General features: G+C 47.5%; 1 protein-coding gene, 1 long non-coding RNA gene and 2 pseudogenes across 14 annotated transcripts in view; 1 reads left to right on the top strand and 3 right to left on the bottom strand.

The window, feature by feature from the left end:
* Positions 1 to 598: 598 nt before the first annotated feature.
* Positions 599 to 5,526, bottom strand: LOC105372404 (uncharacterized). The gene is made up of 3 exons (XR_935971.3): positions 4,031 to 5,526; positions 2,326 to 2,419; positions 599 to 1,742 (listed from the first exon to the last, which is right to left on the bottom strand). It is a non-coding gene; the product is annotated as an uncharacterized LOC105372404 (long non-coding RNA).
* Positions 738 to 1,044, top strand: DNAJC19P2 (DnaJ heat shock protein family (Hsp40) member C19 pseudogene 2; annotated as a pseudogene).
* On the bottom strand, positions 5,080 to 5,327 carry CEACAMP3 (CEA cell adhesion molecule pseudogene 3; annotated as a pseudogene).
* A 14,212-nt stretch (positions 5,527 to 19,738) lies between the features above and the next one.
* CEACAM21 (CEA cell adhesion molecule 21) overlaps positions 19,739 to 27,495 on the bottom strand; it is a 37,327-nt gene continuing 29,570 nt past the window's right edge. For 2 of the 13 annotated variants that reach the window (XM_017027432.3, XM_005278397.5), the window contains exons 3-8: positions 26,955 to 27,230; positions 22,140 to 22,233; positions 21,088 to 21,140; positions 20,712 to 20,743; positions 20,388 to 20,429; positions 19,739 to 20,119 (exon numbers count right to left, since the gene is read on the bottom strand). In XM_017027432.3, the coding sequence (XP_016882921.1) occupies positions 20,712 to 20,743; positions 21,088 to 21,140; positions 22,140 to 22,233; positions 26,955 to 27,230 (455 nt within the window). In that variant the 3' untranslated portion in view covers positions 19,739 to 20,119; positions 20,388 to 20,429. Of the gene's footprint in view, positions 20,120 to 20,387; positions 20,430 to 20,711; positions 20,744 to 21,087; positions 21,141 to 22,139; positions 22,237 to 26,950; positions 27,314 to 27,495 lie in introns of those variants that run through there. The other 11 variants (XM_017027431.2, NM_001098506.4, XM_047439608.1 and 8 more) reach the window with 8 other exon arrangements.

The raw sequence follows: 27,495 nt of genomic DNA, 5'->3' as shown, positions 1-27,495 counted from the left end.
GTTCATTGCTTCAGGACAATGGTGAAATCTCATGGTGGAAGAAATCTTGTCCTTGCCAGTGCCCAGCTTTCATTTGGTCTTGGCCCAGAGTGTCCTCCCTAGAGAAGACTCTTGTCCCTTCTTCACACTGCCCTTCAGGGATATGCCAGCCTTATGGGATAAGATGGGGTGGAGACTGTAGATGTGGGTGGGAATCTCTCCACAGAGTGCTCCTTCTCTCAGCGGTTGCACCTTGTCTCAGGGCTTCAGCTTGAAATCTGGGATCTCCAAGCCCTTCCCTCCCCAGTCCTGGCCAGGACCACATGGGCAGATGCATTGTGTGAAGTGCATTTCATTTGGGGTGTCCTCTCTGCATGGCACCCTCCCGTTGATTCTCTTTGCCCATGTCAGAGTGCAGGCACCATCCACACCTCCTGCTGGAGGAGGGACGGAGCTGTTGACTCCTGAGAGCTGATCATGTGTTCCCACCCTCACACACAATCATGGTCCATCCTCTGAGGGACATGTGTTGCCACCACTGTGGAGATGGTGCAACTGACAGTAACAAACAGTAAAATCTGGTACTGAATGGGACCTTAAGCCAACAATGACAATGTCATTCCAAGGTGTTTCATTTTTATTGATTCAATGCAAGTCACCTGATTTCATTGACTATTCACAATAGCTCGATAAAGTAAATGCATCATCACCACCACTTTAAAGAGGAAAAAGGTGCTTGGGCAGTTTGTGACTACTGTGGTGGCTGCTGCATTGCTCTCTGGTAAAGCCAAGTAGGTGGTGGGTGCGGCCTCTGGGCTGGGATGATCCACCCTCCTGGTGGTGGCAGGGGAGCCAAGCTGGAGCCATGGCCTGTGCAGTGGTAGCAGCTGAACTGACCGCTGCTGCAGGATTTGCAAGCTGTTACATTTTGCGAAGCCATGAAGCACATAAAACCTCAAGTAGAACAAGTGTTTCAAAGTCTACCAAAATCTGCCTTCAGAGATTATTACTACAGAGGTGGATATGAACCCAAAATGACAAAACGGGAAGCAGCATTAATACTAGATAATGAATGAACACTAGTAATAGTAGGGTAAGCCCTACTGCCAATAAAGAAAAAAATAAGAGATGCTCATTAACATGTTATGCTCTTAAATCACGCAGACAAAAGAGGGTCTCCTTATATAGTAGCCACAATCAATGAAGCTAAAGATTTACTGCAAGATCAAGCTAAAAACAGTAGGTGTATAATGAATTTTTAACTTCATATTAGTTTATGTATATGAATATCAAGTTTTTATAATAAAATGCCTCCAAACAAAGAATATTTGATTTAGGGTTTAATAACTTCTAAGAGGGGACTCAGATGTTTCCTGTTTCACAGTCAGTCTGAGAGGGTCATTTTTCCTGGAGCTGACCTGGGTGGAGGCCTCACACTGATACTCCCCAGCATCCTCTCTCCTGATGGGGTTTATGCTGAGCATACAGTGGCCCTGGGACAGCTCCATTCTCTCCATGAGTCACAGACGCTGGTCATGGAAGATCCACTGGATAAGGTTCCAGAGTCATCTGTGGGGCAGGTCAGGATCACAACATCCTTTTCTTCTGTGACTCTGGTGTTGCTGACTCAGATGGGGTCGGAGCCACTGACCCTGTGGACAATCAGTGGAGGTGCTCAACTGAAAGTGGGCTGAGGGCACGTCTTCTCCTCCATCCCTGGGTCCTTAAGGTATCTGTGGACCCCAGACCAACTGACACAGGAGCTAGAAAGAAATTATTTAGGAAGTTAGTGAGGGTAAGAGCGTCCTTGGCAAGGTTTCCCCTTTAACAAAAAGCAGCCCAAGATAATTCCTTTTCTAACAAAGAGCAGCCTGAAAAATTGAGCTACAGATGTAGATGAGCAAGATGGAAGCTTGCACAGGTGAATTCCAGTAGGTGTGCCAATAGAAAAGGGCTGCCTGGAAGCCAGGTATGTTCAACATGGAGACTCCATCCTCCCTTTTCTCCATTACCACATGTACAGTAAAAAACCAGGCAACATGGCACCGGCCAGGTAGACAATCCATCTGCATGACAAAAGATCAGAGTGGGGCAGCCAGCAAATGGCACAGCTGGTCTAAACAATCTTTCACCCCCTGTATAAATCAGACACTGCCTCCTGAAGCTCATCTATAAAACCTTCTGCATTTCACTATGGAAGTGGCAACCCATTTTCCCCAGGACCCCTCTCTCTGTGCAGAGAGCTCTTCTCTTTCTTTCCCCTATGAAACTTCCACTCTTAACTTCACTCTGGGTGCCTGCATCCTAGTTTTCCATGGCCATGGGACAATGAACCTCGAGTATTACCCCAGATGAATGATGCTGTTTCACAATCACTGGTTCAGCTCCCTTCTTCTTAGGGTTTCACAGCTCGGTGGGGAGAATACCACGCCTCAGTGGTCTGGGGAGTGAGGAACAAATGAAGAATTAATCAGATTTTACTTAGAACGCTATCACCTGCCTCAACCATCAGATCCATGTTGGGAATGTCCAGGCCTCCTCTCTTAGATCTATACCCACTTCACTGGACCTGAAATCCTGTGTTTCCCGATGTGTTGGTGTCACTCCTATGAGAGGATAAAGGAGAGAACTTTGCTTTCTCTCCCCACTCACACCCTGCACAAGACAGGGCCCAATATGAGACACACACTCGCTCAGTAGTTCTCTCATGAAGGAGGGAGGGAGTGACCTCGAGTGACTCTGCCATCTGTAGTCTGTGTACCCTGGCCAGTGGCTGTATCTTCATATGCCTCAGTTTCCCCTCAGTAAAATAGGACACACAATGAGAACTAAAAATAAAATTCTAATTCCCCAGTGAACTGAAAGGATGGCCTCTTGGCCAAGCGGATCCCAGAGTTCCTGATCATGACAGGATGGGAGGTTACACCTCATTACAGCCCCTCCCTTTGGAAGTTTAGAGGTGACAACTGACTAGCATTAACGCTAAAATCGAGATCATGAGACTGACAGAACAGACTCTCTGTGGCCATAAGATACCAAATTATAAACTCAACCTAAGGTCATGCAGGCAAGGGCTAAGCCACACTTTCCTACATTTAAAGAATAAGCTATGTTCTAACACAGAATTTTCTTTCTCTCTAGCGGCTAAAGTAACACTAGCCTTCGAGATAAGCAATATTGAAATGATCGCGGCTCATCCACCAACACTGGCTAACTGACCCCTGTTCCAACAGCCACAACTACACTTCAATTGGACAGGAGACTGATTTCAGTAACTTTCTCCTAATAAGAGACCACTGAGCATGGCCTGGTTCTGCTGGTATACAGACACGGTGCACTGAGTACCATAATGCTTGTTTCATCTTTTGATGTATAAGACCTAACTTAATACATTTAAATCTGAATTCTCCACCCCAAAGTGAACATGGGGTGCATGTAGCATGCATGTTTGTTGATCACGCATGTGCGTGTACTTCCTTTGTGAGTATCCATAGCTCCACCTATAACCTGTTGAATATGTATACCTGGCCAACTCATTCAGCATAAATCTATCTTCCACATTCCCCTCCCTTGAAGTGCCTGCTATTGGTCTCTGCTGGAGGCTGCATCTTCTACCCTGGGGAATGGCCAGCCTGCAGGCTGTAACCCTGTGTAAGAAATAACCTGGTTGGGTGCAGTGGCTCACACCTGTAATCCCAGTGGTTTGGGAGGTTGAAGTGGTAGAATAGTTTGAGCTCAGGAGCCAGAGACTAGCCTGGGCAGCATAGCAAGATCCTGTCTCTTAAAAAAATTTTAGGGAGGAGAGTGAGGATCAGAAAAAATACCTATTGGCTATTATGCTTAGTACTTGGATCATGAAATAATCTGTATACCAAACCCCTGATTACATATATAACAAACCTGCATGCGTATCTTTGAACCTAAGATAAAAGTTTGTTTTAAAAACTATCTGGGTGCAGTGGTGCATGCCTATAGTTCCAGCTACTCGAGACTGAGGTGTGAGGAGTGCTTGAGCTCGGGGGATTGAGGCTGCAGTGAATTATGGTCCCACCTGTGAGTAGCCACTTCACTCAAACCTGGGAGACAGAGCAAGAACCGGTCTCTAAAAAAAAATAAAAATAGAAAAATAAAATGAAAAATATATGAAATAAAGTCTCCTTTCCAAACGTACAGATCTCCGATTTTTCTGCCAACAATGATAAATGGTCAGTGGCTTGCCATGTTGTCTGTGAATTACTTTTAAAATATTCACGATCACCTGACCTAAAGGTTGGTACCAAGGAACCGCCTGAATACACCGTCTCTGATTATTTGCCTCCAACAGAGTGTTCCCTGGGCCTGATCTCTGGTGGACAATGAGCTGCTGGGAACATCCTCTCTTCTCTATTCCTCCCCTGGGGATGCTGACCTTCCCTTGGAGTCTCCTAAGTTCCCCAGGGCAGTCGGCTAATGTCCTAGGGAGCTTACCTGTCTTCTCCATACCAAGTCTCATGTGAAGGACGAGGCTTTGCCCTTGCCCAGATGAGGCTCTGGGGGCTGAGCCCTGGCTGGCTACCAGCTGCAAGAGCCATGGCCCTTGGACAGCTGGTAAATCCTTGTTCCCAGTCAGCCCTGCCCAAGATGCCTCAACCCAGCCCCGGCACAGGCTTCCCAGGGTCACATGGAGTCAGGATCCTGGGACAGGGGACTGGACAGGGGTTTCCAGGGCTGAGTTTCTGAACAGGGGCTTCCCAGGGGTCCCCTCACTCCAGGATCTGACATGGTCCTACAAGGAACGTCCATGGGGAGGGGACCCAGGAGGGGGAACTGACACTGACCTCCCCTTACTGAGCCTCCCCCCAACCCCATCAGACTGTCCTTCCTCTGTAGCAAGTGCCTGCAGGGTCTGGATGCAGGAAAGAAATTCTGATCTGTGGAAGTTTGTCTCCCCTGTGTGTGTCTTGCACTAAATGTCCAAACCCCCAAATGGGATGTAATGTAGAGGGGGACACAGGCACAGCCCAGGCCTGAAAATCCTGTGTGTGTGAAGCAGAACTGACCCCCAACACCCAGAGCTCATGAGACATCACTGTGTACGTGAAACTGGCCAGTTACTTCTTCATTCACAAGATCTGTTTTTATGACTTGTAGGGTGTAGGATCCTGTGTCATTGTTGGTGACATTCTGTATCAGCAGACATGTATTGGGGTATATTGTCTCTCAGCCTCTGTGGCAGGTCCTGGGGTAATTACTTGAGTTCCTAGTACATATCCTGTAATTCCCCTTTGTACCAGTTGTAGCCAAGCCTAAGGCAGATTGTGGGTGAGTGGAAGAATCTCCTTGCCTTCTGCAGCTTCAACAGTGACTTGGGCAGTGGTAGGCAAGTTCCAGAAAGTTAAAAGTGAGGCTAGGAGTGGGGAGAGAGCATCAGTTAATACTGGGCCCTATGCATTGAGGTGGAAAGATGGGGCCCTAGGTCCTGGACAGGTCTCTTCATCCCTCAGCCTTGGAGTGTGTGTGTGTGTGTGTGTGTGTGTGTGTGTGTGTGTGTGCGCGCGCGCGCGCGCGTGCGTGTCCTACTGGGCCAAGGTCAGCAGCATGACCTCCCTTCCTTCAGTGCCTCTGACCTTGGCATTTCCCTGTTTGGAGTCCTTTTCCCCAGGGGTCTGCCTGGCTCCCTCCCTACTGCCTTCAGGTCCTGCTCACATTAGGGCATCCTTGGGAGACCCCTTCCCTGACACCTCTAGAGACCCTGGGTCTTCCCTTTCTGACATTTCGCTGCTGTGTTCCCTCCAGGGCTCTTGTCAATACTTGACCTCACATTCTAGATACCCTTGCATGTCTGTCTTCCTCCCTATGAGAGCATGAGCTCTGTGAGAACAGGGACTTGTGTGATCTTGGTTGCACCCCAGTGCCTGGGACAGGCTGCGGACTCCTGTGGATGAGCTCATGAGTGTTCCCAGGGCCCTTCACAACGTGGGATTTATTTTCCAATGGCTGAGGTTGTTGGCTAAGAGCTCTGTTGGAGTTCAATCAGGCTGGTGGGAAAAATATTAGAGATAGTTATAGAGATAGACACAAATCTTCTTGGAAGACCAAAAACTTTGCATAACTTTGGTAATAGATCTGACTGAAGGTGGTCCCTTTACCTTTAGTTAAACAAATTAAAGTAGTAACAAAGGAAGGCAGAGTAGTTTGTCTAGCCAGCTTGTTTACTCATGTGATCTTAAGACTAACCATTGATGTGCCACAGGTGCTTAATTGCTTTCTACTTGGGAAGTCCACAATGTCAATTACCCTCTAACGGTGTTGACTCAAGCCTTTGTTAATTAATCTTACTGAATAAATATGAGTCTCACTAGCTGATCAAGGCCATGGTCACAACTGTTTATAGGACTCAGCAGGGAGTCTGTAAGCGGCCCTGACAGACTCAGCTGGACTGGCAAAGCAAAATATGTGTGTGTCAGTGTACACTATTCACCCGTCCCCCACAGCTGGTGCCCCTATATGAGGAGTGCTGCCACAGAGCTCTGTTTAGTGTCCCTTGTTTTTTTTCTTGAGTATTACCCCAACTTAAATTGTGATTATTGTCATCTGTTTTCAACATTAACTGCTCAGTGATGATTCACTTGGAAAACATTAACAATCGAGATTGTTTCTTCACTAACAACCTCAGATTATTTAGATTTTCCTGTTGTAATCCCTTCTTCCTGTTTAGTGTCCAACAGAAGCCCTCTGTCCCTCTCAGGTCCCCGTTCTCTCCAAGAAACCCCAGCCAGTCTCTGTGCTCCCTCCTCCCATCCACTCCCAGGGAGCCCTCCCCTCACCTGTGAGCAGAAGCGCCTGCCAGGGATGTGCACTCTGTGAGGAGGGGCTGAGGGAGGCCCCATGGGCTCTGCTGTCTGCTTTGTCCTCCTCTGTGGAGAGGAGCTTGGGCTTCAGAAAATAAGGAGGCCAGAAAGTAAGGAACAGGCTGAGAAATAATGGGGATGTGTCGAAAGGTCACAGATGCCAACATCTTTGTCCTATGCAATATTATCCATAAAATTACAGGTTTGAGATATGCTTAAATTTTCTTCTAACATGCATTAAAATAAACATATAACTTTTAATAGTTATATTAAATTGTATTTAATATAAATTAAATGCTCTTGTCAGAGCTACTGTGACTGTCAGCTCTGCTGTCCTTCCTCTCTCTGTGCTAAGCCTCCTCCCAGGGCAGAAGCACTTCCCAGGGCCAGGGGTGGGGGCGGGGAAAGGTAAGTGGCAATGAGGATCTGCACAGGTAGCCTTTCCGCCTCCTCCCCTCTCAGTCCTGCCTCCTTGTCTTCTTTTCCTCTTTTTCTCCAATCTACATTTCAGTTCCTTAGACCACGCTGTGAGAAGCAAGGCTTATTGGGACCCCCATCCCTTAACAGGATGACCTGTGCTCCCCATAAGTGACCTCTGCTGTGTCTAGGGATTGGCTCTGTCAGCACCTCACAGAGAGTCCCTGGGACCCCCAAACTCAGTGTTATTTTCTCTATGACACAGAAACCCCTCTGGGTATGCAAGGTTTTCCTCATGTTTTCTAATGTCTGGGAAGGTTGGATTTACTCCCAGCAGGGAGGTCACAGAGATGTCCAGGGAGTGGGGTCCTAGAAATGGACAAATCTAGAGCTAAAGCCCAGGTCTACGATTTTCAGTTGTTTTTTTCTGCAGTGCTATGTGACCCTAATTTCCTAGGAGTAACTAAAATGCAAACCTCAGACATTTGTAGACATTTTATGATTTTTCTCTACAGCTTGTACCACTGTTATTATTATTTGCTTTATGCTTTTTCCTAAATAAATTTACTTTACAAAACATCCTTGTCCTAGTAGGGTGCAGGGGCTCACGTCTGTGATCTCAGCTGCTTGAGAGGTTGAGGTGGGTGGATTGCTTGAGGACGGGAATTTGAGACAAAACATCTTTGTCCTATGCAATATTATCCATAAAATTACAGGTTTGAGATATGCTTAAATTTTCTTCTAACATGTATTAAAATAAACATATAACTTTTAATCATCATATTAAATTGTATTTAATATAAATTTATATACAATACATTTTTATATAATAAATTATATATATAAATGTATATATAATAGTTTTTCTTTTTTGAGATGGAGTCTGGCTCTGTCTCCCAGGCTGGAGTGCAGTGGCACGATCTCAGCTCACTGCAGCCTCCGCCTTCTGGGTTCAAACGATTCTCCTACCTCAGCCTCCCGAGTAGCTGGGATTACAGGCGCCTGCCGCCACGCCCAGCTAATTTTTGTACTTTTTTAGTAGAGATGGGGTTTCGCCATGTTGGCCAGGCTGGTCTCAAACACCTGACTTCAGGTGATATGCTGCCTCGGCCTCCCAAAGTGCTGGGATTACAGGCATGAGCCACCATGCCTGGCCTATATATTTTATATAATTATATAAAGTTTTCTATAATAAATTTTATATAATAATATATAAAATGGATATTTATTTAAGATAAAGTTATTAGTTTTATATATTTACATATATTTAGGAATAAATGTGTTACTGTGGGAGCCCAGTGCCCAGGCAGGTAGTCAGTACATGATGGTTGTCATTAGGGTTAATACTTTGGAATTCTGGATTTTTTCCCAAGAGAGTGTCTACGCTGGAATATTGGGCTTGTGGCTTTCTGCTGATGTGCATGTGTGAAGAAGCTACTTCCACTTATTAGGACTTGTGTATCTGTCTCGCAGTTTCACTACCTATTTTCTCGTGATGTTGGTCAAGTCGCCTAACTTTTCTGTGCCTCATTTACCTAATTTGTAGAATATGGGTAACAGTACACAAGTGTGAGTGTGTATTTCCCAGGACTGACCACTAGAGGGCGTGAAGGCACCGGCACTTACTATTACAGCAATGGGTGTAGTAGTGCTCGTGGTCGTAAACATCATTCTCCCATGAAAGGAACCAGGGCTTCCTGGGAGAAATAACTGATTCCAGGGCTGGGGCCGGAAAGCACAAGCGGAGCCTGGAGCATCTCGTGAGGCCAGAAAGTAAGGAGCCGGCTGAAAAATAATGGAGATCTGTCGAAAGGTCACAGATGCCAACCAGAAGGAGCTTTGAATGACCAATTTTGAGACAAAATGAGCACTATAAGAAATAATGATAGTAATAAATTCCAACCCATAAATACCCATGAGTTCCTACTAATATAAATAAATAATTGAATACATAAATATATAAGGATGAAGAAACAGCTTTTTCTTACAGCAGGATTCCAATTAATGAATGTAGAAGGAATGATCAAATAGAAAATCACTATTTGGCTAACAGCACAGTCAATTGTTTGTAGGCAAGAATTATCAATGGACTTTAAATATGAATGGGTAAAAGTATGATGATGCTACAACTAGTGAGTACCAAGGGGGAAAAAAAAGTATGTTGAGAAGAAACAGGCTACTTCCATATTCCCAAAGTATCACTTCAGGAGATACTTATTGATTATAATGGGACAAATAGTAACTTACAGTAGAGAAACCTGGCAACAGAGTCTCTCCGAGGTACAAAGGCTCTCTTCAGGAAGGAGGTAAGGGGAAGGAAGAAGAAAACACTGTCCTGCCTCAATTATTTGCTTTCCCCATTCTCAAGTGTACTTCATAGACATTCAAAGATATGTGTTGATAGTGTCCACGATCCACATGGCTCTATTATAGTCATTTATTCACACATACATTCAGTGAGGCTTTGAGTGCCTAATGTGTGCCTGATATTTGCTAGATGGTGGATGCTGAGAAGATCAGGTGTGCTGCTGTCTCTAGGGTGACTGAATCCACCTGCCCCACTTTACAGATGTGGAAATTAAAGTGAAAAGGATTTATAGGATTAGTTCACTGTCACAAGGTCACTAGCCTTAAAGTTACAGGAGTAAAGCAAGTTTCCTGACTTGCTAGATTTTCTGCTGCAGGTGCTGACAATGGTGAGCTCCAATAGGAGAGAGGACACTCAGAGTGAAGTGGGAGCCCTGAACACCCTGGATTAGCCAAGAGGACATGCCGGGTCCAGCTGTGACCGCACAAAGGACCATTGGGGATATTTGTATTCTCTTTTTCACTTAGAGCTTGAAATGAGGAAAACTAAGTGCAGAAAACCAAGAGTGGAAGATTTTTCACAAAGCACTGGTAACATGCATCAGAAAACCCTGTGCTGATGTCTGTCACGGTGTTTCTCACTGAACGGTAATAGTCTGGCTTTGAGTGTGTTCCCTCTACAGCCTGGAGTTCTGCGAGGCAGGGACCAGGTGTGATTCATCTTTGTCTCTCCAGTGACAGTACACAGCAGGCTCTGATAAATATTTCTTACAAAATAAAATGGAATAAAAAGTAGACATCTGCACAGGTGTGGGATGACTGAGCAGCAGCAGAAGCAGGAAAAGTCAGCGTCCCCAGATCAGCTGATGTGGTGTTCGGATTCTAGATAGGGGTGAGGTGCCAGGATGGGGATGGGGGTCCTGTGGCTCTGCTGCCCTGGGGGACACCCCTAGGTTTCACAGTGCCTGCTGTGGTTGCTGCACTTTGCTTCCCCATGGGAAAGTGATCAGAGGGTGTGGGGCTTCAGGTGACCCCATGTGGGAAATGGCCAAGGGAAGGTGGGGTGGGCGGCACATGGTTTTTTTTAACCAATATTTGAAGGTAGGTTGTATGAAAAGGTGTTAGGCTTATTTCAGCTTATGGGGAGTAGGACAGGGATTGGTGAGTGTGTATCAGGTATATTTTGGCTCAGGATGGAAAAGAACTGTCACAGTAACATAAGGTCTTTTGGGAAATTACATGTTTACTGGCAGAGTTCAGGCCAGGGCTGGGTGTCTGAAAATACCTGTCAGGGTCACTTTTATGGTTACAAGGGCAGAGCTTGGCTTGGAACCAGGTTTCTTACTAATACCACATATTAAGTATTATAAAAACTGTCCTTTGCAATAGGACATTGCTCTATGATGCAGGTTGAGGTCCCTCTGTTTAAGTAATTGTGGGTGGCTGTGATTCTCTCATCTAGTCTGCGACTTGGACTTCACCTCCATCTGCAGTCCCTCTCCTTTGCTGTTGACACTGGTCAGAGTTAAGCGCATTTACTGACGATGGTCACAGGGTGGCAGCACTGCCTCTCTGGTATTTTCTAAAACCTCTTCCTGGAACTGAGCCAGTCTAAGAGGATGTCATGACTAAGAAAAGGGCACTAATGAGGTGAACAGATAATTTTTTTTTTCTTGTTTCTCCTGTGAAGTAACAGAGTGGAGGTGAGCATGGAATAATTGCCTTTTAGAAATGGAAGACAATGGAGAGAAGTGTTTCGCAAACCTTAATGTGTTCACAGATCCCACACAGATCTTTTTATTCAATACAGATTCTGATTTTTCTGGTGAGGCCTGAGATTGTGCATGTCTAAGGAGCTTTTGGATGATGCCATTGCTGCTGGTTGGCGGACCACACTTTGAGTAGCAAGGCTCGAAGATCATTTAGAGGTTAATTCTCACTGCATCTAATTTATGGATGAAAACAAACCAAGGTCCAGAGAGAGCATATACAGCTTGCCTAACAAAGCCATTCCCTAAGTGCCTGACTTCTTGCATTTAAACCCAGGGCTTCAGCCTTTGTCCAGTTCTCACTCCACACATCACACGGTTTGTTCACTGTTGTGAACGACAGTTGTGGCAGCATCTCTTTAGTTTAGGAATCCAGAGCCCCAATTTCACTACCCTCTTTGGTCTTGGCTCATGCTGTGACTTCGAATAGTTTTGCCCTTACTTAAAATCTTCAGTGGCTCTTTTGTAATCACAAGATCAAGTTCGAATATCTCTGTCTAGTGTTCATGGCTTTATAACATATGGTATCTCTTTAGTAACCTTACCTAACTTCCCTGTTTTAAAATTGTCTCTTGCTGCCATAGCCCTCCTTGCTCCTTCCTGCTCCCTAACAAACTGTGTTCACTTCTCTCTCAGTGGTAGTGATGATGGCATGGCCTCTGATGTTAGACTCATGTAACTTCTAATCCCAGATCCACCACCAACATTGGCAAGTTGATTCATCTTTCTGAGGATAAGCATCCTCCTCTGAAATAAACTTAGATGGCGGTTGAGAGGGGTAAATAAAATAACACACAAACCCACTCTCATCCCTGAGACCCTCTTCAAAACTAGCATATAAAAATAGCTATTTGAAGAGGTTCAGTGAAATTCAAGGTAACACAGAGAAGGAATTCAGAATCCTATCAGATAAATTTAATAGACTGAAATAATTTTTAAAAATCAGGCAGAAATTCTGTAGCTGAAAAATTCAATTGACAAACCGAAGAATGCACTAAATCTTTCAACAGCAGAATTGATCAAGCAGAAGAAAGAATTTGTGAGCTTGAAGAGATAATATATGAAAACTCAGAGTCAGAGAGACAAAAGAAAAAAGAATTAAAAGAATAATGCATGCCTACAAGGTTTGATTATTAAGCTACTCAAAGAGATACAAGAGAAGGGTGAAAACCAACATAAAGAAATGTAAAAAACAATCAGAATATAAATGAAAAATTTTCTAAAATGCTAGCTAGTTTTTTTTTGAGACAGGCTCTTACTCTCATCACCCATGCTGGAGTGAAGTGGCACAGTCATGGCTCACTGCAGCCTCAACTTCCTGGGCTCAGATGATTCTCCCACATTAGCCTTCCAAGTAGCTAGGACTAAAGGCGTGTGCCACCAGGCCAGGCTAATTTTTTGTATTTTTAGTAGAGATGGGGTTTTGCCATCTTACCCAGGGCTGGTCTTGAACTCCTGGGCTCAAGTGATCCAGGAGATTCACTGCCAAAAAGGATATAACCAAGTCATATAGTCATAGGTTATCTAAAGTCAATGTGAAGGCAAGAATTCTAAGAGCAGTGAGACAAAAGCATCAATTAACTTATAAAGGAAAACCTATCAGTCTAACACCAGATTTCTCATCAGAAACCTTACAAACCAGAAGGTATTGGGGTCCTAATCTTTTGGCTTCTTAAACAGAATAGCTCTCAGCCAAGAATCTTGTGTAGAGTGAAATTATATTTCAAAATGAAAGAGAGAAATACAGTCTTTTTCAGGCAAGCAAATGCTTCAGGATTTGTCACGGCTAGACCATCCTACATGGAATGTTAAAGGGACTTCTAAATCACAAAACAAAAGATTTAAATAGAACAGAATAGAACCTCTTGAAACCAAAAAATTCAAATGGCCTATAAAACAATAACACAATAAGAAAACAAAGTAGATAACGATCAACATGATGACTGGAACAAATATTAACATTGAATGTAAATGACCTAACACTCCACTTAAAAGACACAGATTGGCAAGATAAATAAAAAATCACAAACCAAATATCAGCTGTCTTCAAGAGACTCACTTAACATGTAAGGATTCTTATAGACTCAAGGTAAAGAGATGATAAAAGATATTCCATGCAAATGGAAACCATAAGTGAGAAGGAATAGCTATCCTTATATCATATAAAACAGACTTTAAGCAACAACAGTAAGAAAAAGACAAATAAGGCAACTATATAATGATAAAAGGATCAATCAAACAAGAAGATATTACAATCCTAAATATATATGCACCTAACTTTGGAGCTCCCACATTCATAAAACGGTTATGATGAGACCTAAGAAAAAAGATCAACACAAAACAGTGAGGGTGTCCTGGGTTTTCTTTTTATTGGACAGCAGTGTACTAGCCTATCACTTTCCCAGTCAGGGGATTTTTGGTCTCCCCATTCCCCTACCATGGGTTCATGCCAAAGTCCATATTTTTTATTAGTGTTTGGAATTGGATTTTTTTTTTTTGAGGTGGAGTCTCGCTCTGTTGCCCAGGCTGGAGTGTAGTGGCACGATCTCGGCTCACTAACCTCTGCCTCCTGGGTTCAAGCAATTCTTCTGCCTCAGCCTCCTGAGTACCTGGGACTACAGGTGCATGCCACCACACCCAGCTAATTTTTGTATTTTTAGTAGAAACGGGATTTCACCATATTGTCCAGGCTTGTATAGAACTCCTGACCTCATGTGACAGGGAAACAGGCACTCAGTGAACTTCATGCGATTGAGGAGTTAATGATAATGAGAGAAGGGCTGTGAGGGGACAGCACTGGGGACACCAGAGCCTGTGACGGGCTGAGTTGCTGTGCCTTGGGAGATGCCCTTTTGACTGAGCCCTGGGAAGGAGGGGGTGTGGGGGCAGGAGCTGCCTGCAGAGGGAGTGGCCTCAGGTGGGCGGCCACCTGGCTGCAGGGAAGAGGTGACAGAGTTCGTGTGCAGAGCTTGGAGGGTGAGGAGGAGGTGGGTTGAGGTGACCTTGGTGAGGGTGAACCATGGGGGGCTGTGGGCCCTGCTGAGGGAGGCCAGCCATCCCTGGACCTACAGGGTGGTTTGGTCTTTTTTGTCCCATTCCCAGCATCCACTGAGTGGTGAAACTCTGCAGGCCAGGGACCATCCCACTGGCCAGAAGGAGCGCACAGTAGGTGCCCACTCAGTGCATGTTGGGCTGGACAGAACCTCACTCTGCCCCCTGCCCCCAGCTTTGGGAGCTGCAGCAAGGTCCCTCCCCCTAGGGATCTCCATGCCTCTGTCTCTGAGGGGTGAGATGGGGAGACTTCAAAGGGCCATCTCAGAGTGTGGGGGATAGAGACGCAGAAGTGTGGGGGATAGAGGGAGGCCTGGGCTCTAGACCCAAAGGACCTTACACACCTCCTGAGTCTTTTCAAATGGTTTCTTCTGTTACTTTAAAAATGATGTAAGTCATCATATTTATTGTAAATCCCAGGAATCTAATCATGCGTAAAATAAGGTGTCTTATCCTTGACCCCACCCCTTCCCCAATTAAATTTCCAGGATGTTACCACTGTTTGCAGTTGGTGTGAATCTCTCTTTAATAATACTCTGTTTATCTCACTTGTCGTTTTACGCCAAAATACCCATTGAATTATATTATTGCTGAAGACCATTCTTTTTTTTTTTTTTTTTTTTGAGATGGATTCTTGCTCTGTTGCCCAGGCTGGAGTGCAATGGTGTGATCTCGGCTCACTGCAACCTCTGCCTCCTGGGTTCAAGTGATTCTCCTGCCTCAGCCTCCTGAGTTTCTGGGATTACAGGTGCACACCACCACACCTGGCTAATTTTTGTATTTTTAGTAAAGACAGGGTTTCACCATGTTGGTCAGGCTGGTCTCGAACTCCTGACCTCATGATCCACCCTCCTTGGCCTCCCAAAATGCTGGGATTACAGGCATGAGCCACCACACCTGCCCAGACCATTCTGTTCTACTGAATCATGTGTGGTGGGCACCTCTTATATCAATACATATGGATTTTATCTTGTGTTTGTTATTGGCTCCCCTTTTTCTCATTGCATGGCTACACTCAATGCTTTGTCCACACCCCTGTTCCTGGGTTGGAATCTTGTGACAGAAAATGAAGTAACAAAGGCTAAAGCTTTCTAAAGTGGAGTCAGGAGATTGCAAGACAATTGCACTTTCACCAGCAAGAGCTCAAACCACAGAATGTTCCAATAGATTTGGATAAACAGCTGAAGTCAGTATTCACCAGCCTTCAACATCTCAACTAGGAGAACCCTAAAATTAACTAAGCACATAGAATGGAATGGACTTGTGATTTAGGATTCCTTCTCAGCCAATGAGCTGCTTCTGAAAACAACTTTTTGTGGAAATTACCTGTAAAGAAAACCCTCTCCTGTGCTTGTCTTACAGAACACTAGTCAGGGCTGCCCTGATTCAGTGGACCCGAATTGCTATTATTTGTTTCCTAAACATATGGTATTTTCTGTGACCTTCATCTCAATCTTTTTTTTAAGTTACTGGGCTGTTTCCCAGTTTTCATAATGACGAGACATTCTGCAGTGTTTCATACACATGTCTTTTCCCCATGTGGAGTATTGATCCAGGAGCTCATTCAGTCAACGCATGTTTATGAAGCATCCTGTGCCAGGCTGTGGGCTGGTCACTGTCTTCAGCAGAGAGAGGACAGGCACAGTCTTGCCTTCACAGAGCTCACAGCTCAGGGAGGCTCTTAGAAGTGGGATACTGGTCGGAGCATGTGCACATTAAACATGATGAGGTCAAGGTTGCTATAGGGACTAAACCACAGTCCCACCAAGATCGCATTGAGTTCCTGTGGTAGACCAGAGGTCAGGGCCCCTAAGATGTCCTGAGCAGCTCCCTCTGCTCAGAAGTTTTGGTTCCACAGGTGACACACCTGAGCACAGGTGACCCCTGCAGAACCTGTGATTACCACCCAAAGCCAAGAGTGAGTGGTGGGTGTTCTAGGAGGAACCGTCACCTCCATGGGCAGGGTTGGGGAAGACTGAGGGGAGCAGGTGGCTGATGACTTTGGCCAGAAGGTAGGGGGATGGGCAGGTGTGCGCTCATAGGGAAGGGAAGAGAAGGGAGGGCATTGCAGGCAACAACACAAAGGTTGGAACCTGCCTTCATGGACTGAGAAAAGCAGGGAGTCCACCCAGGCTGCAGCTGGGGAGGGAAGACATGGGGAGCAGTGGATCTAGGGGAGAAGCAGACTGCGATTGACCTTGGGGACTGGGCAGTGAGCAGAGGTGTGTTATGTGTGTCTGTCCCCATCATAGATATGAGGAGGGGTGAGGCCGCGGGTGGCACCTGGGTCGGTGGGATTTCATAGTGCCTGCTGTTCCCTAGAGCCTCTCTGTATAGAGGGTCAGAATAGATCTGAGGCTGTGGTCTGGGGGAAGGGGCTGGTGGTGCTTACCATCTCTAGGGGTGGGAGGAGAGGGATGAGGATGCCCCTGAGCAGTGAAGCCTCAAGGTGTGTGGAGCCAGTTGTCTCTCATTAGACATGTGCTTTGCGTGAGGATGCCAGGGCCTGGTGGTTATTACTGTTGTCAAGTTTGCATGACAAGGACCCAGGTATCCAGGGATCCAGAGCACAGGGCCCCTGGTGAGGGGATGAGGCTCAGATGGGGCTGACCAGGTTCATGTGGTCAGAGTGGGAGGGACTGATGGAGAGACAGAGCCTCAACCCCTCCTGTCAGGAGCTGTGGCTATGTCCAGGAGAGATGACAAGGATGACCCAGGACATTGAGTGAGTCATTGAGACATTGAAGGTGAGGACAGGGCAGAGAGGACCCTGGTGACTGCTGAAATGTAGGATGTGAGGAGGGCTCTGACCCATGCAAGTTACAGGACCTCCCCACCCCCGAGCCCACAGATGACCCTTAAATTGGGCATCCTGAGTGCTGTGTGTGCCCAGCAGGGACACTGGATAGGCTGGACCTGAGTCTCTGTAAGGGCAGCGCTGGTCTGTAGGACCAGAGTCTTCTCTGTGGGTGTGACGTGGGCAGGAATTAGCAAGATGGGGGTGACAAGGCTTGGCTTGGAGGATCTGGTACAGAAGCCCATGGGCTTGGTCAGCTCAGCTTCTCAGGGGCTCAGCTGGGGCTGGAGGAGCAGGATGCTGTGCTCAGGGCATGCTCCAGGCAGCGTGATGTGTGTGGTTCCAGGGTCAGGCACGGGGGTCAAAAATTAACCATGAAAAGTTCCCACCTTCTGTAGGCAGAGAAAATGGCCTGATTGTCAGGGTCAGGGAGACTTACCATGTGGCCAAAGCAGGCTCTCAGCCTCCCAGAGACCACACCCTGGGTGCAGCACTCAGCTCTGCAGGGTATGGCAATAGATGTGCCAAGAACCCCAACATCCAGATGCATGCAAAAATTTTGCGATATATAAAATAGAGCAGATCAAGTTTCCCTGCAATAACGTTGTTCCTGGTTGTGTCTTTTTCTTGTAAACTAGACATGGACATCTTTCCAGCAGTCTGTTCTCATCTGCCACCTTCCTGCTGCAGCACCTCAGAATGAACATTCCTGAGACACTGTCCGTGGTGCTGACGACCAAGAGCTATGGAACAGAGTGTGATGTAGAATCTTCTAGTTACCTCTGCTCTCCTTTCACTTTTAACAACAGAGCATCATTAACAATGAGAAGGTGGAGAGGTGTTCAGGATCTTGAAGTGACTTCTGTCTTGCTCTCCCATAACCCTGAAGCTGCTGTAGACATTATTGCAGAAACTGACACCACAGTCAGGATGGCCTTGTCCAGGAGCCCATGTGCAGTTTGTAGTGAGCAAGGATGAGAAAATGGTCTTGAAAGGGGTGATGGACAGAACAGGGGCTTTTCAAAAATGTCACATCATCACCCCCAGCATCTGTGAATCTGTCACATGGTAAGAGACCTTACAGATTAAATGAAGGATTATGAGTTTGGAAGATTATTGTAGTTTATCCAGATGGGTCCAACATAATCACAGAATCCCTTCCTTACAAATGAGAGAGGGAGGTGGGAGAGTCAGAGAAGGAGGAGGAGATGTGGGGATAGATGCAGAAGACAGAGCGGTGTCAAGATGCTGCACTGCTGGCTTTGAAGATGGAGAAAGAGGACACAGCCAAGGATGCAGGAGGCCTCTAGGAGGTGGAAAAGGAGAGGAAACGCACTCTGCCCTGGAGCCTCCAGAAAGAACGCAGCCATGTGGGCACCTTGGTTCAAGTTTCTGTGTCACTTAGCTTGTGGGAATTTGTCACAGCCTCAACAGGAACCTACAGAGGAGTCACCTTGTGTGCAGGTGGGATCCAGGGTCATTTACAGCTAAATCCTGATGTAAATATTGCAGGTTGCTTTTCCTACTTCCTATCTCATGGCCAACAACCCTGGACAATGGCAGAACACCCTTGGAAACCACGGCTCTGTGCTTTAGTGGAGGGACCGGCTTGTTTGTGGGAAGGTAGCACCTGGTCCAAGTGAACCTACATGAGATCGTTACTCTCCCCAGGGCCCTCAGGGAAGGGCTGAGAACAGCTGGCCCAGGTGTGTGGAGGAGCTGCAGGTGAGGCAGGGCTGGAGGGGCCTGTGGGTCCAGGTAGAGGGGCAGACAGGTTGTCCCATCGCCATGGGAGCCTGCACGAGCTTTAGGTTGGGGAACCCTGCTCCTCTGACCTGGACGCTCCTGTGTGGAGAGGAGGCTTGCTCAGTGAGATCCACGCCAGGGGGTAAATTGGGAACTGATGGGAAATGAGGGGCTAGAGTCCTGGGTAGTGCCTGGGAGGACCTTGCTCAAGGACTGAATTCTTGGTCTGTTCCCACCTTGGTTACTCTGACAACCCCTCTCTGTGTCCCACGGGGATAAAGATCTCCTGAGCAGTGGCCATTGGGACAGAGGAGAACCTGGTGGCCAGAGCTAAGCATCCAGGATCCTGGATTTGGGGACAGGCAAGCTCATTGCTGGGGGACAGTGATAGATACGGCCTCCAGGGCCTGGGTGAAGAGAGCAGGAGGGCTCAGGACACTGGAGGCTGTGTGGAGGTCACACCCACGATCTGTACCACCCATGGATGCTCCTGCATTGCTCACCTTTGTGTGGACATCAGATGGCCCCAACTTTTGCACTCCTGAGACATCTCATGCATTCACAGAGGGACCCAGGCTGGGGCTGTGCATGGCCTTGGTCTCTAGGGTAGTGTGAGGACAGCTGAGCACTCAGCTGGCTGGGCAGGACTCCTGCGAATCCTGCCCTTTCCTGTGTAGGGTCCACCCCAGCCTGACTCCTAACCCCCTACTCCTGTCTTTCCAGGGAAGAGAGACTGGGGTTGAGATAAGGTGGAGATATTTTTCCTGTGTGACCCAGGAGAGAATGGACATGGAGTTTCAGGTGAGTTTCTGCTAAGTTCCCATGAGCAGAAAAAGAGCCAATGAGAGGAAGTTTCCCCTTTATTCAGATCCTTTCCAGGTGACCCCGGGTGGGCCATAGGCCCATTCACTTTCCCTGCAAGCCCCCACTTCCTGTGGTGATGGGAAGCCTTCGCCTTGGCCCACCCAGAGCCCGGGGCAGTCTGTTGAGGTCTCTATATATTCAGCAGGGACCCCCATCCCTTCCTGTCCCCAGGCCTGTGTCTCCTCAGGACTCAGAGCTGGTTCTCTGGCTCAGGCTCCATGTCCTTCCCCATCCCCAGGGCTGGGGGCTTCAGGGACGCTCCATCAACCCACAGGAGCAGCTCCCAGAGGAACCTAAGAAGCCACATCTGCTTTGTGGTCGATCCAGCAGTAAATGTTTGTGTCAGAGTGTAGCAATTCCTGTAAAAACAGAGAAGAGGTCTTGACCCCTGAGGCCTTCTCAGAACAGGGTCTGGCATCTCTCTCTGGGCCCACCCAGGGCTACTCTGGGACTGAACCTGGCTGTGCTCAGGGGGTTCCTGCTCCCAGGCCCCTCCCTCCTCTGCTCACCACCTCCTGTTATTTTCACTGCAGTTTCCTGAACTTCAGCTCAGCCAGATGCCAGTGGGGACAGATCCTGGGTCTCCCTGGGGCCCAAGGGACCAGAATATCTGTGGCCCCCACTCACCTCATAGATGAGAGCAGCTGCCCTGGTGCTGGGTAGGGGAATCTGGGCAGGGGAGAGAGGGGTGTCAGGGGACAGGGAAGGATTCCTGCTGTGTAGGAATTCCAGGGCTCTCCTCAGGTGATGGAGGGTCCCAGGGTGGGGTTAGCACAGGGAGTGGATGATCCTGGCCCTGAACAGAGGCCCAGCTCATGGCCAGGGCAGGTCTAACCTTATCCAAGTCATTCTGGGTAGGGTGGGTTTGTGCTGGGGATTGACAGTCCCCCTGCCCTGAGCCTGCACAGCTGGGGCCCCAGTGGAAATGGGATTGGGAACGGACAGTCTTACCTAGGAGATGGAGCTGTCAGAGGGTCCATGGCCTGGGGACAGAGACAAAAGTGAGCACGAGAGTGTTAGGATAGCTGGGCCCCTCCTGCAAGAGTGTGTGGGGGTCCTCAGTTCTTAGAGAATTGGGGAGAGGGAGCCTTTCTCAGGTTATTTTAGGGGTCAAGTAAGCAAGTGAGGTTGAGGAAGTGACCCATGACCCAGAGCCCGGAGGTTAGGGCTGACCCGGCCAGTTGGGGTTTCCTGTGTGATGTTTTATGGGATCCTCTTTGCAGCCCCAGGGATAGGGTCAGAGGCCCCTGGGTGTAACTGGCAGGAGTGGACAACTTGGGGCTGGCTTAGTAGTTCCCAGCCACACCCAGACTGAAGGGACACTCACCGGGGGTGGAGGCTGGGGGCTGCTGCTCCCTGAAGTCACTCTGATCGCTGGCCCTAGGAAAGGTCAGGGTTATTTGTGAAGGTGCAAGGTTAAAAGTCACAAATTGGAGTTAAAATAGGGGACCAGGAAAGGAGCCTATTTCCAAGAGGGGTATGGAGACCTCCTTTCTTTATGGAGTTCTGTGGTAGGAGGGGCCCAGGTGAGGGGAGTTGAGGAAAGGCCTTACAAAGCCACATCTGTCCTGGCCAGAGGGGAAGGACTCTCAGGCAGATGCTGGGCCAGGAGAACATTGATCCAGTGACACAGGAAAGGGACTGAGGACCCAGGGAAGGAATCAGACCACCAGGGGTTGCCTGAGAGGAAGGGTCAAGGCACCAGGGGGAAAGCAGGGCCAGGCACATGTGCAGGACACTGAGGGGACTGCATGCATCTTGGATTCTCCTGGAACTCAGTGTCCCTGCTGTGACCAGACACTCCACTCAGGGCTGGAGATGCTGAAATGGGACAATGATCTTGTCTTCTGTCTCTGCCCTTTGGCAAGAGACATAAACGACATTCCAGGATATGCCATATTGGGGCCCCGGTTCTCCCTTCTCACAGCTCAGTGTCTGCAGTTACCATGTCAGTCAAAGGGGTGCTGACCCCACCCAGCCCGTCCAGGCTGTTCCAGTCTCCACTATGTGATGATGCCCAGGATCCCCCCTCAGATGCCCTCTCACTGGGTGGATGGATTCAGTGAACAGGGGGAGGTACCAGGTATTGAGCACCGCTCCCCCCTGCTCCAGGCAGCTGTGGCTTTGCTGTGCTAGGAAACTAGGACCATGCTCAGGGGCATGGCCTTAATTGGACTGAATTCACTGAGGACAAAGCTGTTGAGGAAGCAGCCCAGGGTCAGCAGCTGGTGAGGAAGGTGCCATGGAATGAGAGGGAAGGATCCCTGGGGAGTCGGGAGGCTGGGGAGAGCCTGGCACTGAATACAAGACAGGGTCTCCTTCCTTCTCGCCTGGGGTCAGCGTGAAGGATGGGAGCAGAATGGGGAAAAGCTGTGGTACCTGCCAGTTTTTCGGAGGAGCAGGAAACACACAAGTGCAGCCACCAGAAGACTCCCAACCAGGACCCCGATCAGGATGCCTAGAGTGTTGTCATCTGCTGAAAGAAGAAGGCAAAGGGGATGAGGTCCAAATCTGTTCCAGGGGGAACCATGAGGGGCCTTGCAGGGCAGGGGCATGGTCAGGGAGGAAGGAAATGCCATGGAGCCTGAGTGTGGTCTGTTGTGCTGTCCTCATAGCTGGCTCCCTTGCTCTCCGTGGTTGCACCATTTTCTGTGTCTTAGGCTTGAATTACTGGGATGCATCAACTCCTACATTCTCCCACAGGAAGCCTGCACCTCATCCTGCTCCTGTGTTTTTTAGTCCCTCCTTCCTCTCACATCACTCCTCTTCCCCCTGTTTCTTTTTTTCCATCCCATGGCAGTCGTAAAGGGCAGGCCCTTGCTGCCAACTCAATGCTGATGAGCAGGGATGATGTTCATTGACTGTTTTCAGGGGCCTTCCACATGGAAGGCACAGTGGGAATCAATCTACCTGCAGCTTTTCTCACCCTCCCATTGCCTTGAGGGAGAAGGGTATGTGATATTGTGAAATACGTATTTGGTGTTCATCACCATTGATATGGTTAGGCTCTGTATCCCCACCCAAATCTCACCTTGAATTGTAATAATCCCCATGTGTTATGGGAGGGACCTTGTGGGAGGTAATTGAATCATGAGGGTGGGTTTTTTCCATCCTGTTCTTGTGATAGTGAATAAGTCTCAGGAGATCAGATGGTTTCATAAAGGGAAGCTTCCCTACACATGTCCTCTTGCCTGCTGCCATGTAAGACATGCCTTTCACCTTCCATCATGATTGTGAGACCTCTCCAGCCATGTGGAATTGTGAATCAATTAAACCTCTTTCTTCATACATTACCAAGTCTCAGGTATGTCTTCATTAGCAGTGTGAGAATGGACTAATACAGTAAATTGGTACCAGCTAGTGGAGTGCTGCTATAAAGATACCTGAAAATGTGGAAGTGACTTTGGAACTGGGTAACAGGCAGAGGTTGGAACAGTTTGGAGGGCTCAGAAGAAGACACAGGAAAAAAGTTTGAAACTTCCTAGAGACTTGTTGAATGGTTTTGATTAAAACGCTGATAGTGATATGGACAATAAAGTCCAAGCTGAGGTGGTCTCAGACAGAGATGAGGAACTTCTTGGGAACTGGAACAAAGGTGACTCTTGTTATACTCTAGAAAAGAGATTGGTGGTATTTTGCCCCTGCCCTAGAGATCTGCAGAACTTTGAACTTGAGGGAAATGATTTAGGGCAACTGGTGGAAAAAAAATTCTAAGCAGCAAAGTGTTCAAGATGTGACTTGGGTACTGTTAAAAACACTCAGTTTTATGTATTTACAAAGGTATGGTTTGGAATTGGAACTTATGTTTAAAAGGGAAGCAGAGCATAAAAGTTTGGAAAATTTGCAGCCTGATGATGCAATAGAAAAGAAAAATCCATTTTCTGAGGAGAAATTCAAGCCAGCTGCAGAAATGTGCATAAACAATGAAGAGCAAAATGTTAATCCCCAAGACAATGGCAAAAATGTCTCCAGGGCATGTCAGAGACCTTCCTGGAAGCCCCTTCCATCACAGGACTGGAGGCCTAGGAGGAAAAAATGTTTCCTGGGCCAGGCCCAGGGCTCCCCTGCTGTGTGCGGCCTAGAGACTTGGTGCCCTGCATCCCAGCCACTCCAGCCATGGCTAAAGAGGGCCAAGGTACAGCTGGGGCCATGGCTTCAGAGGGTGCAAGCCCCAAACCTTGGCAGCTTCCATGTGGTGTTGAGCCTGCAGGTGCACAGAAGTCAAGGATTGAGGTTTGGGAACCTTCGCCTAGATTTCAGAGGATGTATGAAAATGCTTGGATGTCCAGGTGGAAGTTTGCTGCAGAAGCAGAGCCCTCATGGAGAACCTCTGCTAGGGAAGTGTTGAAGGGAAATGTGGGGTTGGAACCCCGACACAGAGTCCCTACTGGGGCACTGCCTAATGGAGCTGTGAGAAGAAGACCACAATCCTCCAGACCCCAGAATGGTAGATCCACTAACAGCTTGCACCATGCACCTAGAAAAGCTGCAGACACTCAACGCCAGCCTATGAAAGCAGCCAGGAGTGGGGCTGTACCCTGCAAAGCCACAGGGGTGGAGCCCAAGGCTATGGGAGTTCAGCTCTTGCATCAGTGTGACCTGGATGTGAGACATGGATACAAAGGAGATCATTTCAGAGCATTAAGATTTGGCTGCCCTGCTGGATTTTGGGCTTGCATGGGGCCTGTAGCCCCTTTGTTTTGGCCAGTTTCTCCCATTTGGAATGGTTGTATTTACCCAGTGCCTGTACACCCATTATATCTAGGAAGTAACTAAGCTTGCTTTTGATTTTACAGGCTTATAGGTGGAAGGGACTTGCCTTGTCTCAGATGAAACTTTGGACTTGGACTTTTGGGTTAATGCTGGAATGAGTTAAGACTTTGGGGAACTGTTGGAAGGCATGATTAGTTTTGAAATGTGAGGACATGAGATTTGGGAGGGGTCGGGTGGAATGACATGGTTTGGCTCTTCTTCACCCAAATATCACCTTGAATTTTAATAATCCCCACGTGTTGGGGGAAGGACCCAGTGGGAGGTAATTGAATCATGGGGGTGGATTCTTCCCATGCTGTTCTCATGATAGTGAATAAGTCTCACAAGATCTGATGGTTTTAGAAAGGGGAGTTCCTCTACACATGCCCTCTTGCCTGCCGCCATGTAAGACATGCCTTTTGCCTTCTGCCATGATTTCAAGGCCTCCCCAGCTATGTGGAACTGTAAGTCAATTAAACCTCATTTTTAAAAAAATTACCCAGTCTCAGGTATGTCTTTATCAGCAGCCAAGACCAGCTCGGTCGCGGAGATCCTAACCCAGCAGTGCTAGAGGAATTAAAGACACACATAGAAATATAGAGGTGTGAAGTGGGAAATCAGGGTTCTCACAGGCTTCAGAGCTGAGAGCCCCAAACAGAGATTTACCCACATATTTAATAACAGCAAACCAGTCATTAGCATTGTTTCTATAGATATTAAATTAACTAAAAGTATCCCTTATGGGAAACCAAGGGATGGGCCGAATTAAAGGAATAGGTTGGGCTAGTTAACTGCAACAGGAACACGCCCTTAAGATGCAGATTGCTCATGCTATTGTTTGTGGCTTAAGAACGCCTTTAAGCGGTTTTCCACCCTGGGTGGGACAGGTATTCCTTGCCCTCATTCCTGTAAACCCATAACCTTCCAGCTTGGGCATTAGGGCCATTATGAACATGTTACAGTGCTGCAGAGATTTTGTTTATGACCAGTTTTGGGGCCAGTTTATGGCCAGATTTTGGGGGGCTTGCTCCCAACAGACTAATACACCCATTTTCTGGTATGTGACTCTAAAGTCCTTAGAATCTTCAAAGTGATGTCTTTTTCAAGCTAATAATTGACTGATGACTGGCAGCCCCTAGGCAACTTCAGAATGAGGCTGGTCACTGACCCAGGTAGGATTAGAGGGTTGGGACTTTCAGCCTCACCCCTAATCCCTGGGGAGGGACCTGGAGTTTGAATTAATCACCAATGACCAATGAATCAATTAATGGCCAATGATTGAATCAATTAATGGCCAATGATTAAATCAATCATATCTATGTCATGAACCCCAAAAGGACTGGGTTTGAAGAGCTGAACCCATGGAAGTTTCTGGAGTGTGGTGCATCTGGGGAGGGCATGGAAGCTCCACACCCCTTCCCACATGCCATGCTCTGTGCATCTCTTCATCTGCATCCTTTGTAAAGTCCTTTATTACAAACCGGTAAGCCTAAGTATGTGTTTCCCTGAGTCCTGAGAGCTGTTTGAGCAAACTAATCCAACCCAAACAGGGAGTCATGGAAACCTCAATGTGAAGCCAGTCATAAGAAGCTCTGGAGGCCCAGACTTGTGACTGGTGGGAAGGTGGTGGCAATTTTGTGGGACTGAGCCCTCTGCTGATATGTCCAGGTAGATAGTGTCAGGATGGAATTGGAGGACACCTAGCTGATGTACGGTGCAGAACTGATTGGCTGCTGGGTGTGTGGGAGAAACCCCCCCCCATCACATTTGGTCACAGAAGTGTGTCTGTGTTGATGATTGTTATTGTGGAGTGAGAGCAGAGGAAAAACACAGTTTGAGTTTTTCCAAACAGGGTGGAATCCCATCTGCCAATTTAGAATCTGAAACTTATAGTTTCAGTACTTCAATTAAGATTGAAGTACTTCAATTCAGTACTTCAATTAAGATTCAGTACTTCAATTAAGATTCAGTACTTCAATTAAGATTACAGAACTGGTAAGTGAAAGTGATACAACAAAAATGTAACCAAAGTCTGCTCAACTTAACAGCTAATAACAACAAAGTTCATAAAAATAATACCAGTCGATATTGATAGCACTGATTGAGCCCTGGCTCTGTGCATGACCTTGTTAAGGGCTTTAATCGCATTAATCTCTGAATAAATATCCTCACAACCACCCTGAGGTCCAGGTGTTTGTAACAATTCTACAGATGAGGAAACTGAGGCCCAGGAGGTTGAGTGTCTTGCCCAAGGTCAAATACCTGGTACCTATTGTAACCAGGATGATAACTGGATGAGTCTAATCCCTGAGTTCTTACCCACATTGCTCCCCAGGCTCTGAAGGAATCTCATCCTTCTCATTCCGTGTATCATTTTACACCCCCCCTCCCTCCTAGGAAAATATACAAGGAAAGGAGTGAGAGGGGCCGAGGGTCACTCACATTTTACAGTCAGCTTGAGGGGGTCGCTCCTGTTGGAGCTGACTGGGTTGGAGACCTCACACTGATACTCCCCAGCGTCCTCCTGCCTGATGGGGTCTATGGTGAGCACATGGTTAAACCAGGACAGCTTCATCCTCTTCGTGACCTGCAGACGCTGGTTGTTGAAAATCCACTGGAAAGAGGTTCCAGTGTTATTTGTGTGGCAGGTCAGGACCACGGAGCCCTTCTCTGTGACTGTGGTGCTGCTGGCTTGGATGGAGGGCTGAGCCACTGACTCTGTGGATAGAGTGACCAACAGAAAGTGTCTTGGGGCCATGCTGCATCCTCAGAGATCTCAGAGTCAAATTTAGAACATTCTCCTGTGAATAAAGGAGAAAGATGAAGGACAGGGAGGAGCAGAGAGAACCAGAGACACCCATAGCAGCGAGCAGTAGGGACTACAGTGACCTCAGAGACCCCAGGGACCAGGAGGACCCAGCTGCCTCAGACCAGGACCAGGGAGCCCTGAAAACCCTCCCACAGATGAGCGGCCCCAGAGTCA

The sequence above is a fragment of the Homo sapiens genome, chromosome 19 (assembly GCF_000001405.40).
Source record: "Homo sapiens chromosome 19, GRCh38.p14 Primary Assembly".
Classification (NCBI taxonomy): domain Eukaryota; kingdom Metazoa; phylum Chordata; class Mammalia; order Primates; family Hominidae; genus Homo; species Homo sapiens.
This window is presented reverse-complemented; position numbering and strand designations above follow the sequence as displayed.